This window comes from Homo sapiens, chromosome 3 (genome assembly GCF_000001405.40).
Source record: "Homo sapiens chromosome 3, GRCh38.p14 Primary Assembly".
Classification (NCBI taxonomy): domain Eukaryota; kingdom Metazoa; phylum Chordata; class Mammalia; order Primates; family Hominidae; genus Homo; species Homo sapiens.
Genome location: NC_000003.12, coordinates 107,424,625 through 107,445,742, shown reverse-complemented (window position 1 = coordinate 107,445,742; position 21,118 = coordinate 107,424,625). Strand labels below are relative to the sequence as shown.

General features: G+C 40.7%; 1 long non-coding RNA gene across 1 annotated transcript in view, besides 2 other annotated features; it reads right to left on the bottom strand.

Annotated features, from left to right (window-relative positions):
• Positions 1-14,813, bottom strand: part of LINC01990 (long intergenic non-protein coding RNA 1990) — a 32,983-nt gene extending 18,170 nt beyond the window's left edge. Inside the window, exon 1 of the long non-coding RNA NR_110039.1 lies at positions 14,785-14,813. This is a non-coding gene — a long non-coding RNA (long intergenic non-protein coding RNA 1990). The remainder of the gene's footprint in view (positions 1-14,784) is intronic.
• Positions 13,618-13,807: an enhancer, noted in NCBI's record as "active region_20202". NCBI's record gives its function as "activates an Ori minimal core promoter by ATAC-STARR-seq in GM12878 lymphoblastoid cells {active_cell/tissue: GM12878}" and the evidence as "EXISTENCE:reporter gene assay evidence [ECO:0000049][PMID:35858748]".
• Positions 14,018-14,267: a silencer, noted in NCBI's record as "silent region_14586". NCBI's record gives its function as "represses an Ori minimal core promoter by ATAC-STARR-seq in GM12878 lymphoblastoid cells {active_cell/tissue: GM12878}" and the evidence as "EXISTENCE:reporter gene assay evidence [ECO:0000049][PMID:35858748]".
• Positions 14,814-21,118: the final 6,305 nt, after the last annotated feature.

Sequence of the window (21,118 nt, the reverse complement as noted above, 5' to 3'; positions counted from 1 at the left end):
ACCAGAGCTGAAAGATCTGCTTCCAAGATGGCTCTGTCATGCGGCTGTTAGTAGGAGGCCTCAGCTCCTCACCATGTGGCCCTCACCATAGGGCTGCTTGAATATTCTCATGACATGGTAGCTGCTTTCCCTCAGAATGAATGATATAAACGACATCAAGGAGAAGGCTGTAATGCCTTTTATGACCTTGTATCAGATGTCACATATGATCACATCTACTAATGAGTCACTAAATCCACCCTACGCTCAAGAGGAGAACTAGGTTTCTCTGCCTTTCCCTTTTGTAGGCTGTAACTTTTGAATAGAGTAATGTCAAATAATTTGTGGACATATTTTAAAACCACTATAAAGACCATGTTGAGGGTATAGAATTCTTCATAACACACTTTAGAAAATATTAGTTAAAATGTTAAAAGCGTTCAGGGTTGACCAGATGTGGTGGCTCACGCCTTTAATCCTAGCACTTTGGGACGCCAAGGCGGGCAGATCACCTGAGGTTAGGAGTTCCAGACCAGCCTGGCCAACATGGCAAAACCCTGTCTCTACCAAAAATACAAAAAATTAGCCGGGTATGATGAGGCGTGCCTGTAGTGCCAGCTACTCGGGAGGCTGAGGCAGGAGAATCACTTGAACCCAAGAGGCGAAGGTTGCAATGAGTTGAGATAGTACCACTGAACTCTAGCCTGGATGTCAGAGTGAGACTCCATCTCAAAAAAAAAAAAAAAAAAAAAATTAAAATGTTGAAATCTAGGGTGAGAAATTAGAAGTAGGTGTGTCTGAAATCAGACTCATTTATTAGTTGCACTAACTTGGGCTTTCTTTTAACTTTGTGAGCCTGAATTTTTATATAAGTAAAATGAAGGTGATAATATTATTTATCTTTGAAATATCTTAGGGTTGTTGTGAAGATAAACCAATGTACATAAAAACTCTTTAACAATTATAACGTACTACACAGATGTTCACACTTACTAAAATTGTTGGCCAACATATGACCTGTCAAAATAACTGAAAACTAGATGTTTGACTTTTCATATTTAAAAAGCTCCTCTTCCTATCTTCCAGAAGAATGTCATATGCATAGATATGCTTAAAAATACTTTTGATGAACCTTATATCAACCCTTTAGGAATTTTAACCTGACATTTGTCATCTTCTGCAATTGCTTCTTTGCTAGATGCATAGAACTTTGTCTTTGCAGGGTACTGAGTTACCTTGTAAATGAGTAGTAGTAGTTTTTTTTTTTTTAAAGAACTTTATGTACTTCCATAATTTCCCTAATAAGGAGGCTATTTTTCTCCTGTGTCTCATAAGTTGACTCCAAGGCAGTGCCTAAAGAGAAGTTCAGGAAATGTTATAAGCAGTGGAATCCTCATCAGAATAAATATAGAGTTTCCCATGGTGACCACATGGCAGGACAAAGCAGGTTTGGATACATGAGTCTTGATGGGATATGCTTGTCCAAGATTAGTCTCCTTACTTTAAAGCTGTATCTCATTATAAAATGAACCACACAGACTAGACATAAAGAAAATGTTACTGCCAGCCAACTGCAATTTTTAAATCCAAAGAGCTTAGAATATTTATAGGCATAATCTTGTTAATCTTCATAATACTATGAGGTAAGTCAAAGTATCATTACTCTTAGAGGAAAGTGTGACAAAACTTGGATTTATTCTGAGTCCTTCTCTGTGTTTTTCGAAGACCTAACTCTGTGTAACTATTGTTTAAATATTGAATACGGTTCAGTTCTAGTACATAGAAAAAGAACGTATGTATTATGGCTGAATTAGGACAAGGGTTTTCAGCCTATAAAGATCTATTGGTCAATACATTAATTAGGACAACAAGTTTATACCCTGTGTCAATGTAGTTGTTTATTGCTTAACTTAACCCTCCTTAATTTATTATAGTCATTAGTGTCTGTTAGCAAGAAACAATGTGTTTGAATTTTACAAGAGTATGTGGTTAGCAGCTTTCTGTCTCTGAGCTGGGACGTGCCTCACTTGATCTTCTCACCTTACACTTAACTCAGGACTGAGCCTTCCTTAAGAAATGATTATTCTTCCCAGTAGAACTGTAAATAGTCATAGCTCCTATTTTGCATCTCAGCTCACAAAGCTATAAAATGAGAGGATGAGATTAAGTGATCTCCAAATAATCTTGTACATCTAAAATTCTGAGTTAATGATTATCTATGTTGATACAGAATTAAGGCAACAATGATAGAAAAAAACACTCCAAATTAAAGTATTCGAGACAGTTAGAGTTATTTGTATGTTTTCATAACTATGTAAAATCAGTTTGAAGGTTAATACCTTCATCCTAATTAGTTAGTGTACAGGACTGCTGCCACAAAAATTTGGTTTAGGTTTACAGAGCATGACTTTTCTAGGAAAGTGAAAGTCGCCTGGCTTTTGGAGAGGGAGCAGGGAAGAGGCTTTTGCTATACCGTTTAGCAACAGATGTTTGGGCAGCAGGACATAGCCAGGAATCCAGGAATTTAGACATCATTGAGGAAACGGACTATTAAAGAAGAATTGCTAAACCTGTAGAGGCAGATCTAAGTTTTACAGGGCCTGAAGCTTATTCAATTATAAAGAGCCCTCTTAAAAAAAGAATACAAAATTAGGTATGAAAATGTATGCTTATTCAGAAATGAATTCTGTTAGAAGTGAATATTTACTTTGAATGCTCACAGCTTCTCCAACAGCATCCAATACAGGGACTTCTCCAACAGCATCCAATACAGGGAAAGTGCCATGGGGGAGATTTGGAAAGAGACTAGTCTTAACTAATCACATTTGAAATATCTTACTCTTGTAAATTTTACAAAAATCTATGGCCATGTGAATGTGTTGCTAACCCCCAATCAGGATCCCTGGACAGGGCCTGTGAGAGTGACGGACCCAGAGCCTGAACATCATTAGTTTCACATCACATCCACTGTTATCTACATGTCTAGAATATTCCATAGACAGTTCAGTTGGAAGTTCATTTAACTTAAAACAGTGAAGTCATTAAAGAAAGAGGTAGATCTGTATAAACAATCATAAAAGTTGTAGAATATATTGTTAAATGAAAAAACAAGGCATGGGATAATATGTATAGCATAATCCCATGTATGTAGAAAAATTAAATATAGGCATCAAATGTGTGTGTGTTTGTGTTTGTGTGTGTATGTGTGTGTAATATATATTTGACACATATCAAATTCTTTCTTTTTTTTTTTTTTTGAGACGGAGTCTTGCTCTGTCGCCAGGCTGGAGTGCAATGGCGCAATCTCGGCTCACTGCAACCTCCGCCTCCCAGGTTCAAGTGATTCTCCTGCCTCAGCCTCCTGAGTAGCTGGGGCTACAGGCACGCGCCACCACGCCTGGCTAATTTTTTTGTATTTTTGGTAGAGATGTGTCACCATGTTGGCCAGGATGGTCTCCATCTTTTGACCTCATGATCTGCTCACCTCGGCCTTCCAAAGTTCTGGGATTACAGGCATGAGCCACCATGCCCGGCCATGTATCAAATCTTTAACAGTGATTATATTAATATTTGGAGGTTGTATGAGGTAATGGGTTATTTGAATTTTTGCACAACAAAAACTATTCATGTGTTACATGTAGGCCTCCTATTAATAACTGCACATGCCTCCATAATTTCAGGCATCCCACTCTCATACCATCATTAGCCATCTTTCCAATTCAATTCCCCTACAGCTTAACTCTATTTTTGACTCACGAGGATCCACAATCAAACCTCCTATCATTTCAATATCCCTACTCTCTTCATATGCCCACTTCCATCGTTACCCAGCTTAATTTCCATGGCCCATTATTATAGTCATTGTGCATACATCTTACTGCCCAGCTACCTCTTGCTTTGTCATACTTACTTGGCAAAACTCCATCCCCGCTTGACTCCAACTCTCCTCCTACTCTGCCCCTGCAACTAAGCAGCTGAATGTGGCTGGAGGAAAAACACACAACTCATGCTGACTGGTCTCATTTGAAATTCCTCACCTCACCTCAGGGGGCTTTCGTTGCTGCCCTGGAATCCTTCTCCATTTTTCCCAGTCCATTCGAGTGAATGGACTGCCACACTCCTCGGTGGCTGTTTCACACTTTTTCCTCCCTCCTCAAACATCCATGCCTCCTCCACCATCCTCACTCTCAGCTTTTGACTGTGCTTACATTTCATTGAGAAAATAGAAACAATCAAGAGAAAAAAACACCAAAAAAACCTTGCACCCATTCCCATCACTGTATCTACCCACCTACCTGTGCCCTGCACTCTGCTCTCTGTCCTGTTCTGTGGATGAGCAACCAGGGCTTGCATCTCAGGCCAACCCTCCACTTGTCCACCAACCCCATTCTCTTCTTACCAACCTAACAACTTTGAGGGCAGATGAATCCACAGGCTGGTAGGTACAGTGTCTGGGGTTCATGATACTTTTAGAGGCGCCTTTAAAATCATAAGAAAAGTAAGAACTTCTAGGTCAAGGAAAATGCTTTAATATATGTTAATTTATTCACTTTTATATAATGTGTAATATTTTAAATATGGGCCCATGATGGCAAAAGTGCCTAGGGCTCATGGAAGTCATAACATAGCCCTGACTACACTGTCTTTTCTTCTCATTCAGCATCAGTTTACCCCTTTCTTTTAGGGTATCCCCCAGTTGGCAAGCATACTGCAATTTTCCCATCTCCCTAAACCCTATCTTGATTAGCCTGTTTCCAACCACTCACCATTAATTTTCTGCCTCTTTCTGTTGTTGTTGTTTAAACAGCAAAACTTCTTAAGAGATGCATCTGTATTTACTGTCACCAATTCCTCTCCTCCTATTTTCCTTTGACCTCAAGTCCTCATGCCTGCCGCAGCACTAAAGCCATTTTCTGACAGGGTCCCAGTGACCTCCATAACACTAAATGCAGCCACCATTTCTCAGTCCTCCTCTTACTTGTCTTAGGAGCAGCATTTAAATACTTGATTATTCCTTCTACTTACACCACTTTTTTCACTTGGCTTTTATGTAGGAAGGCCAGGTAATTTATCATCAGAATAAAGACACTTTCGAGAGTGAAAGATGGGTGGTACTCTTACTACGTACAGCTGAGACACAGGCCTCAACTTGGACCATCTCAGGCAACTGGACCTTACAGTCACCGTTCTCCTAGGACACCACACAACTGGCATTTCCCGCATGTCACTGGCTGTTTCTGCTCAGTCTCCTCTCTGTCCTCCTCCCCCAGCCTCTAAATATTGGACTTCCCAGGGCTCAGTCCTTGAAGGACTTCTTGTTCTGTATTCCTTCGGGGCTAATTTTCACCTGCTGTGTCCTGGTGTGCTATGCTATTGATAAAACGTGGAAATGCTGCCCTTTGGGCCAGTTGAGAGCTGCTCCTCACCCTCTCCTCTGCCCTCTCCAGCCACTCTGGCCTCACTCTGGGACCCTCAGACCTTCCAAGGATCTAATTTCTAAAAGGTTGACACCTGACCCTTTAGAACTGTGCTCCAGTACTTTGATTGGTTAGTACCATTACTATATTGGTTGTTAATTATTTTGAATAGCACCTTTGTACTCCTTTACAGGGCTTTAAATGAACTCTTAATGGATATTTCCAGCTGGGACCTTTCTTCTGAATTCCAGACTTAACTATCCAATTGTCTATCCAGCATCTCCGTTTGAACACATAGGGGTATTTTGAACTTAAAATGCCCTGATTTTCCCCGCAAACCTGCTCCTCATACAGGCTTCCCTAAAACTCACGTAATGGTAACTCTATCCTTTCAGTTGCTCAGGCTCCATTTCTTATGGTTTTCTGATGGTTTGTTTTTTAAACTCCTCCCTTTCTTTCATACCCCTTATCAAAGTTATCAGGAAATACTGCCAGCTCTACCTTCAAAATACCTGTGCTACTCCTCACTACCTCCACTGCTGCCATTATCCACCGTCACCCCTCCCTTGACCACAGCAGCAGCTCCTGTCTCCCAGCATCCACCTTTGTCCCTTTCTAGTTATTTTCAACACAGCAGACAGAGTGACCCTGATAAAACAGAAGACAGCTCATGTCATATCTCTGCTCAGAACCCTTCCATCTCACCCAGAACCAAGGCCAAGCCCTTACAACAGCATCAAGGCGCAGTGCATCTGGTCCATGCCATTCACCCATGACCTCTGACCCCATCTCCTTCTCCTCTCCCCAGCCCTCTCTCAGCCACACTGGTCTCCCTGCTCTTCTGTGTGTGGCAGGCACACTCCTGCTTCACAGGCTGGACACTTGCAATCTCTCCCTGTCTGCCCTGCTCCCGCTCCATGCTGCACACAGCTGGCTCTGCTTCAGTTCATTAATTAAAGGTCACTCACCCTCTCAGTGAAGCCATTTTTAACAAATTATAGCCCCCGCCCCATTGCCCTTCCTGCTTAATTTTTGTCCACAGCACTTATAACCACCTCATGCACTGTAGATTCTACTTCTGTGGTCTTTGTCAGTTTTGTTTTGCTGTAACTGCAGGGCCTAGAACAGTGCCTGGTATGTAGTGGTTGCTCAGGAATTGTTAAATGAATTCGTTAGGAAAAATTGTCAAATATCATTTACTAATCTGTAATTGCTCAAAAAAGTTTTACTATTATTCAATTTTACTAATTATGCATCAATATGCTGTAGAAAAAGTCCCCCCAAACACAGCAAGAGGTTAGTCACAGCCCTGTTTTAGAGCTTTTGCAGAGTTAGTAAAATAGAAATTTTGTGTACTCTTTGGAAGCTTATGTGCTAAAAGACATACTGTGCAGATTTACACACTCAGGGTCAGGAGAGAAGGCTGAAGCCCAAGCACTGAGGCCAGGAACACCGTGTTCCAAGCCAGTCCATAATCAGGTTAATCTACTCCAGCCTCCAGCCTCTAGTCACACTGCTGACTTCAAGATAACACGGTGGCTATGGAACTCTTGCTGGCAAAGCCATCTCTCTCAAATAGCATTGAGGACTGAACTGAGGAAAGGCAAGAAATCAGGCCTTCTAGTCTGCAAGGAAGATTAGAAATAGAAGAAAGTTATAAAAGAACTGCAGCCGTGGAGGTGCCCTGAGGGTTTGCCTACTCATCCTTCTTTTCTTATGATACCTAACCTGACTTTCCTTGTGAAACCCCTTCTTTTGTAATCTGTAACAATCTTGTGTAAACATATACCTATCTCTTATTCTGTCCACTTAAGAACAATTTAATTTACCAAGTTAATCAGGAAACTACAATCATAAAACTGAAGAGTCATTAATAATTCTAGTGGGTGTTTTCTAGTGTTTTTGAACATTAGCCTCCAAGGAATCGCTTTAACATATCCACACATACAGATACCTATAGTAGAAACCCCTGGACACCTTCGCAACCCTGTAACTGAATATTACTCACTTCTCAGCCTTTCTAGGAAAACCTCCAGCGAACATCACTTATTTGCAAAGAGATCGGAATTACCAGTTATTTACTCTACACTCCCCACTACAGAGATATCCAAAATCATGTCAAACCTGTTCTTCTTTGTTTTTTGTTTTTTTTGAGATGGAGTCTCACTCTGTTGCCCAGGCTGGAGCGCAGTGGTACAATCTTGGCACACCGCAACCTCTGCCTCCCAGTTTCAAGTGATTCTCCTGCCTCAGCATCCCAAGTACCTGAGATTACAGGCGCCAGCCACTATGCTCAGCTAATTTTTGTATTTTTAGTAGAGATGGGATTTCATCATATTGGCCAGGCTGGACTTGAACTCCTGAGTTGAAAGCCATCTGCTGGCACTGACCTCCCAAAGTGCTGAGATTATAGGCAGGAACCACTGTGCCCAGCCCAAACCTGGTTTCTTTACCTGTCAGAAAGGAGCTTAGGGCTGGGTGCAGTGGCTCATGCCTGTAATCGCAGCACTTTGAGAGGCTGAGGCGGGTGGATCACGAGGTCAGGAGTTCGAGACCAGCCTGGCCAATATGGTGAAACCCTGTCTGTACTAAAAAATAAATAAATAAATAAAATTAGCCAGGCATGGTGGCGCATGCCTGTAGTCCCAGCTGCTCGGGAGGCTGAGGCAGGAGAAATGCTTGAACCCGGGAGGCGGAAGTTGCAGTGAGCCAAGATTGTGCCACTGCACTTGACAAAGTGAGACTTCGTCTCAAAAAAAAAAAAAAAAAGAAAGGAGCTTAGTTTAGTAACTCACTCAAGATGATTGTAACATCATAGAATTTTAAAAGAATCAAATAACTTAATTTTACACACAATTTGTATGTAATTTATTTTGGCAAGTGATGCTCAAATTTTCCCTTTCCTTACCCAAAATAAATTTAAAAAAAAAAACCGTAGGTTGTTTTTTGTATTTTCATTTTGCAATAATTTTCCTGTTTACTGCAGTAGTTAGGAGGTAAGATGAAAACGGGGACATGTTAATGCAATTATTATGAAAAGTATGTCCATTTTAATCACAAATCACCAAACTTACAGGGAAAAGTAGAGGTGGGAAATGAAACAGAAAACTTAACTGGAAGAAATGGGTGTTGTTTTGAGTTAGGATGAGTTAGTTAATTCTTATACAGCTATTTTTATTAATACATTTTCCTCTCATTTCCAGTTTGAACAGCACCAGTAGTTTAAAATTATGAATTTGTAGCATCTTTTTGCTTAGGGAAAACTGGTTTCAAAATCAAATGTGAAGGTCTAGCAATAGGACACTTTTTTGTTTCTCAGTTTTCTCCTCTGCCTTTCATATAAACTCATAAATGTTTGAATAAATGGCTATAGAATTAATAATTTTTAAATTGTGTATATATAAGTGTACATCATATTTTTATATGCATACTACTTTACTGTAGTCAAAGACATTAACATATGCATTATTTCGCATAGTTACTTTTTTAAGAATACCTAAAAATCTTGTTAGCAAAGTTCTGTATACAATACATTGTCATTAACTATAGTCCTCATGCTGAACATCAGATCTCTAGACTTATTGAACCAACATAATTGCAACTTTGTAGCCTTCGATTACCATCTTCCCATTTCCCCCTTATAAATATTTTATTAGCTATCATTATAGATACTAATAATGAATCCTATAAAATAAATTAGTAAAAATAATACAAACTCATAGTAAAATAAATTCTGTAAAAGGACAGGAGAAGTCAATGATACTTTTTGTCATTGCATTGGTGCTTTCCTCACCAGTTTAGGAATCAGAGTAGAAATTGTTTGGCAGCTCTAGCAGTATCAGAACTCATTTTCCTGATCAAATACAAAGCAAAACAAAATGGACTAATATTTGAGAAAGTGGTTTCTTGTTATCTAATTCAGAGAATTCTATTCTGTGAGTGATTCCAAGAATCAATTTGGATATTCCTTTTATTAAATTTCAAGGAATATTTCTCTTAATTGAAAATTGTGTGACCTACATCAGAAACACATTTGCACTGCTGTGCATTTCACAGTGCAGTTTCTCATCCATTACCTCATTTGATTCTCACAGTATCCCCCTGTTGGTAGACAGGGCAGTAGAGATATACCTGTTTCACAAAGGATTTAGCCACAAAAGGACAGAAGTGATGCAAGGTCATAGAGCTGGCAAACTGAAGAGTCAGGATTTGAATCCAAATCATCTGGCTCCAAATATTTCCAATATATTGTGTTACCTCTCCTCATTTAAGTTAATACAATTATAATGGTGATAACTACTGAGGTAATTCAAGCAATTTATCTAGGGGTCTAAATTACTCAAATAATCGACTGGATATTTTTGGTTGCTTTGCAAATTGAGACACAACCCGAGTGTCAATGAGGATTAAAAGAAAAATAAATAAATAAAACTGCGTTTCCAAAAAATGATATGTTTATATCCCTTATTTCTCAAATCTGTACTCTAAGAAATGCTTTTTGAGCCAAAAGTTCCGAAAGTGTTTTTGTTGGAGAATATAATCTCTTCTCTGAACTACAGACTTCATTAATTCTCCATAGCTTGCTATATTTCCCATTGCTTTCCTTAGAATGAAAGAATCTAGAGTTCTAGATTCTCCTCCCTGGTGATATACAAAGTCTACTTTAATGATATTAAAAAGTATATTAAACTATACCTATTATCTCACAAGCATTCTTTCTAATTACCTTGTGGTGAGCATATAAACATTACTAATATATCTAAATAAACAGACATATAAGATAGTCATGGTATTATTATATTAAATGCGAAATAAACCCTTCTAGAGATGCAGATTCCTTATCATATGAGATCAGTTTGTTAATTTGAGACCATTTGTCAAGGAAGTGGTCCATGGGTATACCTATTTGTGCTCCAGAGGTTCTGTAAATATTTATCAATTACCTTTTGAATTTTGCATAAATATACACAATGTGCTTTATTCACTAAAGAGTTGACCTGACATGGAAAATTTATTCAAGCAAAATCTTTAAGTGGCTAGTCTTGGGACACCCTCATGGTCCCGGATGGTACAGAAAACATTTGCCCACTCATAAGCTTCTAGCAGTATGAAATTGTGCAATAAGTACAAGTGGGGAGGTTGGATAAAACAGGACTCCTCTACATGTCTGGGAGGCCATTCCTTGGCTCAGAGTCTGACACATAATGGATGCTGAAAAAATATTTGTTGAATAAATGAATGAATGATCCAGTAGCTGTTTTGAAGGCCTTATCTACTCTATTGCTCCATTAATTGTCTCTAACCCTCAACAACTTGTACTGTCACCAATGGGGAAGAATGTAGGGACCTCCTTCCCTAATAAATGTAAACAGCATACATACAATTATAATTTAGCTAAAAGCATTAATACAAATGGAAAGAGCAAATACAGGGGTTGATTGACAAAGTGACTAAAGCTGATACGAGCTCACCAAAAGGAGAGACAGAAGGTTGAACTGTGATAAGCTAGAACTGGAAGGTCCTGGATCCATGGATATTTAAACTATTTGCTCAGTTCAGTTTAGAACAATTCAACAGATTCTATGTGTTGGGAACTGGGACATAGTGTTAGGTCCCCGGATTACAAGGTGTCTGAAAGTCAGGAAACAGTGTGTACTTATATTTAAACATTATTTTAGTTACATTTTCAAATCTGCTTAGTATGTTTTTCCTCATTCTCCAGAAAAGTTTCCAGAAGTTTAAATACCTCTAAATTTAAAGTAATGGGGTAATGTGAAAAAGTATAATAAATACACTATGTTTTCCTCTGTTTTCAGATTTTTTTGACATTCCGTAGTATATGACAAATGGACATATTGCTTTAAACATACTGAAGGTATTATTTGAAAATGTAACATTCTATTTAAAGTAAGTTTAGCCTCTTTCCTAAGTTTTCAGATACACTAAACAAAGTTTACATAGACAGATTCCTCAGGAGCTCTAGTGAGAAGAGAAGGATATGGAAAAACTCCTTATACAGATTAAGGATATGGAAACAACTCATTATACAGATTAAGAGCCATAAAAGAGACTATGTAAGGAACAGAAGAGGTCTGCTGCACAAGCACGAGGTTATTGCTCTGTGGGAGGTAGCAGAGGGTCAGGAAAATTCACATGTGTGGTGCTGTCTGAGCAGAGTTTTGGGAAATGAATGGCATTTTCCAAGAGACAGGTGTGGAAGGAAGGCCAGGCAGAGGATGGGAATAATGCAAGAACACAAAGCAGGGGACAGCACTATATGTGCAGAGGACTACAGCGTGTTTAGTATTGCTTAAAGTTTGATGAGAGGCAGAATTGTGGGTGATGAAAAGTAGTAATATCATGTAATATTTTATCTGCCTTCTTCATAAGTCTAATTTTAATTTTATCCTGTAGAATGGATGGGAGATCAGCAAATGATTTTAGGTAAAGGAAATAATTTGCTCAGAGTTGTTGAGAAAAGGCAGTAGTCTGCATGGTTCTCTCTTTCTTTCTTTCTTTTGAGAGAGGGTCTCTCTGTTGCCCAGGCTGGTACACAGTGGTGCACTATGGCTCACTGCAGCCTTGACCTCCTGGGCTCAAGCAACACTCCCATCTCAGCCTCCTGAATAGCTGCACTACAGGTGCACACCACCACACCTAGGCCGGAGTGCAGTGGCATGACCATGGCTCACTGCAGCCATGAATTTATGGGTTCAAATGATCCTCCCACCTCAGCCTCCTGAGTAGCTAGGACTACAGGATGCACCACCATGCCCATTTTTTTTTCTTTTTGCAGAGATAGGGTGGGGGTGGGGCTGGGGGTTGCGGGGGGGGGAGTGATGGATTGTCTGTGTTGCTCAGGCTGGTCTTGAACTTCTACTATCCTCCTGCCTTGGCCTCCCAAAGTGCTGGGATTACAAGCATGAGCCACCATGCCTGGCCCCCATTTTCCTTTATAATATTAGCGTTCTTACCAGGTAACATGAGCAGAAATGAAATAATCGAGTTTCACACGGTTTCTCTCTCCCTCTGGGAGAGAAACTAGATTAACAGTCAAAAATCCAGAAGGCAAGCAATTTGAAGGGGAAACTAAGGATAATCAAGATTTGACTGTACACTTTTTGTAACTGTTGAATTATTTACCTTCTTTGACTCCTCCTGGACTGAGCCAATGTAGTCTGGATAGTAGAAAGGACCTTAGCCAAGAAACCAGGAACAGCCTCTCTGAATCTCTTTCTGCAATTGTGTGTTTCCAGAAAAATTGCTTCTTTGAGTTTGTTTTCTGATCAGGAAAATGAGGAAGTTTGATTACATCAAGGCTTCTCAAGTTCTAATTCTATCACATTCACCTAAGGTGGTTCCAAAATATACAGATTCCCAGATCTGACTGAAGGACACATTGTAGAGGTTGGGCTGAGGTCTCTGTATCAGACTGGGCGTAAAGTGTAATGTCCTGTCCTGCCACTTATTAACTGGGTGACCTAGAGTAAGTTACTTCATGACTCGTATATTTCTCATAGGTAAAGCAGGGATGATAATATCTCTACTTCATATGTCCCCGGGAGGGTAAAATGATAGAATCCTTTTTAAGTAGCAAGTATATTGCCTGTCACATATTAATCATTCAACAGATGTTATATATTATTTGTATAGCCCACAGTATTCACTGTGTGTGTGTGTGTGTGTGTGCGCGCGCGCGTTTGGTGCAAGGTAGACGATCCATAAGTATCTGCTGCGTAAATAAAAGTTGTTTTTTTTTTTTTAGCAACTTCTTTTGTTCTCAGATCTGAAATGATTAGCCCAGGAATTACTTCCCTAAAAAGGTAAAGCTAGTTTGAGAGAACTGCTTAAATGTGGCGCTCAATCTTTGCTATCTTAGACTGAGAGCCTCATGATAATTAAAAAATAATTTAAAGATGAAAGTCCTACTAGAGTGGGCGAGCTGATTACGAAAAGGAATGAGCCTCAGAGACTGTTAGCCGGATCCAGCCGGCCACTGCGTAATCCACTCCAGTGACTCTCACCTAGGTGCGCATCTCCATTTTATCTCACAAGATGCCGTGAAATTCTCAAAGTCATTGTAACTACAATTGATTTTGAATCACAAAAAAAGCAATATTCCATTTTCCGTGTTGTTGACCAAGCAGAAAACAGAACGTAACTTTTAAAACGCTTGAAAATCAGGGCTATCAAAAATAGAGAACTTCTATTCGCCATGAACTCGCTGATGCAAACAATCAACGCACACTGAACCGTGTGTTTTTCTGGGTGGTGGTGGTCCCTCGCCAAATAGTCAGCGTTTGGTTCTCCGCGTCTGTAGCGAGAGGAGTTACAGTTTGGTACCGGCAGGGAGGAAATCGCCTCGCAATCTCTGGAGGTGGCCTCCTAGAAAGATCGCCGGGAGGGGAGGAGCCCCGATTGTCCTGGAAGAAAAGCATGGCCCCATCCGGGAAGTCACAGCTTGCCGGGAGCCCAGGGCTGGCGGCTCTGGGTCCTGGAGGTGGCAGACGGCGGAGCAGCCGGCCTCGTAGCCCGGGCCTGCGCGCCTGGCAAGGGGCTCAGTGTGTGCGAGTGAAAGACGCACACCGGGCGGACCTGCGTGGGCTTCGGCCTCGCCCCGCCGCGCGCGGGGTTGCGGCTGAACCTGACCAGGGCTCATCCCTGCCCGGCGAGGGTAAGGGCGGCCCGGGATCCGCTGCTGCTCGGATGGGAGCCGCTCGGGGCCGGGATCCCTGGGCCTTGCGGGGGCGCGGCAGCCCCTCCCCCCGGAGCCCGCGCTTCCGCCCGAGCCCCGGCGGCGGCGGCGGTGACCGTGGCCCCGCCGCGCCTTCCGCCTGGGAGCTGCCGCCGCCCGCCCGCGCCCTTGTGCACCGCGCCCACAGGCCGCGGGAACCCAGAGCGCCCGGGCCCAGGGGCCTCTGCCGCGCGACTGAGACGCACTCCGAGCTGGACGTGTGGAAGGTTCGGCCAGCTCGGCGTTTCGCCCCCGCTGGGGATGGGCCACTGGGCACCTGCAGCCACCCAAGAGCGGGGAGTTGGCCGGGCCCTGGCCAGGGGCCGCCGCCACAGCGTACTGGCAGGGAGAACAGAGCTAGCTAAGCCTCCTTCCTCTCCCAGATTCCCAGGGAAACTGGACAGCCCGACGCCCAGAGCGGACGGGCGAGAGCCCCTGAGGTGCCAAGTGGACCCCGGTTCTGCTGCTGCCACTGGCCGATTGGGGACGCCGGCACTTGCGCTGTGGGCGTGTGGTGGGGCATTTCCGTTATCCTCTCGAAGACACCCCGCCACTATTCCTGCTCAAACAAGCACAGTCTGGTGTGCAAGCCGACCGTACCTCCTCCCCTCCCTCCTTTCTTGCACGCACCTTCGTTCGTCTATCTATTCTTACCTTCTTCCCCAGAGCGCCAAGACAAATGTGGACAAGAGTGAAGAAGTTAGGATACTGCCAAGTGTGTGTGTATTGGGGTGGGGGGGTAGTAATAAGCGGGGAGAAAGTGATGAAAATAAAATTAGAAATCCCAGAGTATGTAGCAACACACACACACACACACACACGCACACACACACGTTCCCAGCCTGTTAGCAATCTTGGCTATGTCCAAGTGGAAGCAAATTTTAATGCTCGGTCTCAGAAGAAAATTTCACATATACAGGCTTCAGAGGTAACGGGGTAACCGATAGCTTCCTTTTACTTCTCGGCATTTATTTTTGCTTTTCTGAAGCATAGTCCTATGTTTATTAAAGGGACCACAGGAGTACACGCTGTTTGAAAGCCATTCCTGGACACCACTGAGGCCGGCTTCCCAGGGAGCCTTTGTCGCCTCTGCAGCAGAGGTCACTGGACTCTCCTCAAGGTGTAATGTGAGGGAACAGGTGCCTCGGGGGCTTGGGAAAACACCACGCTGTGCTCTGATGTGTGTCCCCATCCCGGGAGAAGGCAAGTGCTTTGCATAAGGACCAGATGGGTTGCTGAATAGGGAGGTGGAAAACAAATAGACCCTTGGGTGTATCTTGAACCCCTTCAACACCCCCCCTTCCCCACTCCCCGCCTTCACCGAAGCAGTGTCAGAGTCCTCTTCGATCCAGCATGCTCTCCTACAATGGCGAAAAACTGCATTAAAACGAGGCAGTCGGAGCTGACTGCGGAAACCCATGTTCTTAGAGAGTCGTCTGGCTACTGCGTAGTCCTGGAATATTCTTTTTTTCAAAAGGCCTCTTCCAGTTGATTCCAACCGGGTTCGGGTTATTGTTCTCACCACCGATAGGGGGCAGCAGGTGTCCTGCGATGCCCCGGGGATGTGCGCGCAGACTGCCCTGCTGTCCCCGGGAATCCGACTACACTGAACGTTTGGGGCAGAAGCAGGAGCTGCTGCCTCTAAGTCCACCGCAGCAGCTGCCGGGACTTGGGCCTCCCAGCCTGGGCGCCTGGGGGGGGCTTGCCCTGTGCAAAGGGTGGGCGAAACCATCTGTGCACCAAGCCTGCCCCTAAACTTAGCGTACAGCATAGATAAATAAACTCAGTTGTATGCAAATGCTATAATTAAAATATACAGTCATTTGAAAGTACTGTAGGCTCTATTGGAGTTTTTAATTGTTTTTGAGTTTTCTCAATCAGTAGAGAATTTAAAAATACGGCTATCACAGTCTGTTTGGAGGGTGGTGGTCTGTTACGTTGAATTTTAAAAGGGCGTCTGTCCCTAGAAGTTGGGAACTACTGATCCACAGAATCGTTTGATAACCGTGGTAAAGATTCCGAGGCATCTCGGAAGGGAAACTGGGAGGACTGAGCTAGTCCTAGCAGGGTGTGTGTCCGCCCGCGCCGCGAGGCGTGGGCAACACAGCCCCATCCCGGGAGCGCGGAGCTATGGCAGCTGGGATTGGTTCAGATCGAGAGTCCTGAGGGGCTGGGATTTCCTGAAAACCTACTTCACTTGGTAAGCCAGAGCGCTTGAGTTTTCGGAATTCCCGAGGAAAGGTTCTATATATTCTCCAAATCCACATTTTCTCAGATATAAGCACTTTTTCCCTAAATTAAAAATATATTTGGGGTTTGTGGAGCAGTAATTTTTTTGGAAGAAAGAAAAATCCAATGTAAAAATGTAGAGACTAGCTATTATAGTCATCTCTAAATAGATTTTTGAAGTGATAACGGCTAAATTATCCAAATGAAAAAAAATGTGTAATAGTAGTAACAAGGCTGTGCCCCTACTTTATGAATCTCACGCACAATTAAAAACTCTAATCCCTGAAATACCTTTGGAAGGGAGGGAAGGATTACAGACTAATTATAGGATTTATAACACAACACTAAGATGTTTTCATTTTATTACAATAATGAACAAAACATTGATGATATCTACTTTTAATGTAATTCTTCCAACATCATAACAGATTTTAGAAATGCAACCATAACCACTAGAGAAGGGAAGAATTTCAATAGCACACTAAATTGTCAGAAATTTCATTAACATGGAAAGTTCATATCATGATGTCAGAATATAGACTCTCTTCAAATTAATGATGAATACTAATTAAAGTCAGAACATTTGTAGGAAAGTATAAAATCTGTATCTGAGAGGGGAGAGGAGGAATTAGAGGAAGGAAAGGTCAGGGAAGTAATGTGAGTAAATCTGAGGGGGAGGATTTCCATATTGGGTTCATGATACTAAGAGAAACCAGAGGCCCAGCTGCTTCTATGGATAGCCCTACAGCTGTTGAACCGTGGGACAGAGGTCACTATGGCATTTGAGAACACAGATTATTCTTTGTGCCTAAAGATAAACCTGAACAATTTTTAAGTTTGTCAGGGACCAGCACTGTTCACCTTCAAATGTGTTGAAGGACCTGCACACTGAGCATGGGCAAGTTTTAGTCCATGTTTAAAGGAGCAAAACTATACCAAGGACCAATCACAAAAGTGTCTTTTACATTTTTTTGCCACAAATTGGCAAAAATATGAAATAATTTCAATATTGAAAGCAGTCTATGGATTTATAGCACAACTTGGTTTATTTGCTGAATAATAATGTCTATCATTTCCTGTGCCACATACCAGCTAAGCAAGGTAGATATGATTAGCTCTATTTTACATATAAGGAAACTAAGGTTCAGTGAACTTGATCGACGTGCCTACATTTACACAGCTATTAACTGGAAGGCCATTTTCTGATTTTAGAGCCCAGGCTTTTTCATTGTCTCACTGCAAACCCTAAAACTGCATGTATCCGTATAAGGGATTCAAACCTTGGATTCTCAGATATCTGATCACTGAGCAAAAATGGGAAAACTTATTTCTGTCATGATTTGAGTGACCAAAAACCAAAAGCTAAATTCAAACAAAACCAAAACCTACAGGCCACAGAGGATCTCAACCTCGAGTTTCTATATCCCAAGTGCTTTTTGGAAGTAATGATGGGGTGGGGAGGAATCTACAACCTAGTTTAAATTTTCAAAAATCTAAACAGATATTGCGTGATTACTGCAGAAAATTCTATTGTTTTTGCTTTGCCTGGCATTGCATAAAGTCAATCCAAAGTAGGAAAATAAATTTACTGTTAATAAATGTAGTTTGTTTGCTAGACAATATCTTTAATTATATTAGGTCCATGGAAGGGTTGGAAAATGATAATAATAAATGTTAAAAGGGAGGCTTTGGACATGGAAAAGAACCACTGATACTTGGCAAAATCTCGTATATTTATTCTATGTGTTATTAGTTCTGCCACTTAATAGTAGGTCTGTGATTATGAAGGAGTTGTGCTGCATTTAAGGATTTTATATTGCATTTCCACAAATATAAATGTTACCTGAAGAACACTAGTGTAAATTGGCCAACTCTAAATAATCAACACCATTCAGTCTGGGTCATAAAGCGCTGGAGGAGGAAGGGTGTGTTTGGAGATTATGAAATAGCAGGTCCCAGAGAACAGTTTCTCTAACTTCTCCTGATGGCTGCTCTTTCTCTAGTCCAGTGATTCTCAAATATTTTCGTCTTAAAGCCCCACAAAGCTTTTGTTTATGTAAGTTTATGAGGATTGCATCTATTGATACTACTGTATTAGAAATTAAAATTGGAGAAATGTTTAAAATATGTTACTTGAGTTACTTAATTTATAATAATGACAAGGCCATTACGTATTAACGTAAGTAACACATTTTAATAAAATAATAAGTGTTTTCCCAAACAAAAATTTGAGAAAAATGTTATTTTATATTTTGGAAGTCTCTTTAATATCTGGCAGCTGGATTCTCATATTAGCTTCTGCATTTTCATCTACTGTGACATGTTGTGTAGGTTAAGTACATAAGAAAATCTGTCCCCAAAGAGAAGCATCATTGAAGAAAGGAGTGTTTTCAGATAATTGTGGATAGTCTTTAATACTACTACAAAATCCTTCAAATGATAATTTCAAAAAAGTTAATTGCAATGGGGAATTTAAGTGCATATCAATAAACTTTTCATATTCTGTTACATTAAAACCCACTGGTCTATTGCTTGGATGTTTTACGCAAATCATAATACAGTGAGTGATTTGTAACAGCATGTAATGGTCACTGGGAAATTATTCCTTCACTGAATTATGCAGCTCTTCCAAATGTCTATTTCATTGTACAATATCAAAAATATCATATTCATTAGTTGTATTTCATCAGGAAATATTTTACATATTAGGATATGAATTTTCCAATATTTTAATTTTTACTTGTAAGTTCAAATAATTTTATCATTGGTTAAAAAAAATCTTGTCAATTGTTTTCCTAGAAGTGACAGGCTCACTTTGTTTATTTCTGAGAAAAAAAATCTGCCAAATATTCGAGTCTGAATAACCACAATTTGTCTTGTCAGTCAGTTGTTCTTTCAAATAAAAATGCTATTCTATAAAAAAAGTGACTAGTTCAACTTGAAACTCAATTGCACTAGTGCTTCTCCTAGACAGCCCTCGTACATCTGTGTGTAATAGAAGCACTTTACGTATCATTTCTATTTTGTCCCACAAAATATTAAAAAGACATACCCTAGAGGGTCAGGATTTAATAAATTTAGTCAAATACCTTTTTTTTTTACTGCTTTATCCAGTACATTCTTGAGTGAAACTGACTTTTTTTTTTTTTTTGCTACAATTTGATTCCACTTCCTTGCTTTGTGCCAAGACCACCACAGTTTCACCCAGCATCAGTGAAAACACTGGCAAAGTGAAAAAGGCAAATATCACCTTAGTACTTTAAAATAGTTCTAGCCTCACAGAACCCCTGAGTCTCGAGGACCTCCACAGACGCTTTGAGAACCAGTGCTCTAGTCCTACAACAGTTGTTATCTGGGTCACTCACTTGCTACTTGACTACATGCTACCTTATGTTGTTACTTGTCTTCTGCTGCCCACAAATCTAACCTCCCTAATTAGGAACCGTATTATTTATGTATGTATCCTGAGGATGGTTGAAGTGCATGGCAGGCAGTACAACTACAGTTTTTTGATGACTGATTGACTGACACATTGGAATTAGTGGTTCATGTGCACTCTTAGTTTATCGCAGATCACATCCTAGCTGGTTTTGCTTTTTTACTTATGTTACCAAGTGAAGAAATACATTTGGGGGAATATATTTATTCTGAGGAAGGAAAGGGACATTCGTCATGATACGTTATTATTTTTCCAAACAGATATCATCATTGGAAGCCATGTTTGTTTGTGTTCTATTTTAGCTATTCCATTGCTAGTACAGGAAACAACTTTCCATACCAGTGGATGAGAATTTGAGTCCAGTTTGTGATGAATTTAAAATATGACAGTCATGAATGCCACCAGAGGAATGGCTTCTAATAGTAAAGGGCTTGTCCAATTTGTACGGCAAGCTGCAAAACACAGCTGAAATTTGGACAGTTCATTAGTTTCACTCCTTGGGGTCATGCAAGACTTCTTAAATGTGTGAGGAAGTTCTGTTGCCTGTGAGGTCACAAATCAATCTACTATAAATAGCAATATGCCTGTATTTTTTTCACTTTTCACACTCTTAGTCTTTACTATTAGAAATTGTATAGTGGCAGAATCATCCCTTAATCCAGCAAGGGGAAGTGAAATTATGCAGCCAATTGATTACTGGGAGCAATACCTCATTTTCAGTGTAGGAAATGACTTCCCTTTTTGCAGATGAATTTGCTAAGAATAACTTAACAGATATGTGACTCAGTGATATTAAAGAAGGCCAAGAAAGTAGGTAAGGATACACAATTTACATTCTTTTAACATGATTAAAATTTAGATTTGAACTTGCTGAGTACTAGGTGTATTCAGGCCTATTACCCTAAAGTAGCATGTCCGGTGACAATATTTCACTATTAACCCCTTCCAAGAGGAGATATGTCTAACAAATTAGCATCTAGATACATGTGCTAGTGCAACTGAGAAACTTGAATTTGAATTATAATTTAAATTTTAAAACAGATTCTCAATTAGTCATTAAAACAATTATGTTTGGAAAAACTTGGGTATGTTAATCTACTTTTTCAACAGTAAATTTTATGAAATCTAAATACTGATCCAGTACTTCCAGTGCAAATTTAGCAACCAAATTGAGATGTGCTGCACATGTTAAATTCACATCAGATTTCAATGACTTAATATGATAAAATGGATAAAATGTCTCAATAATCTTTATACTGATTATATTTTGAAATGGTAATTGGATATATTGGGTTAAATAAAATATGTTATTAAAATTAA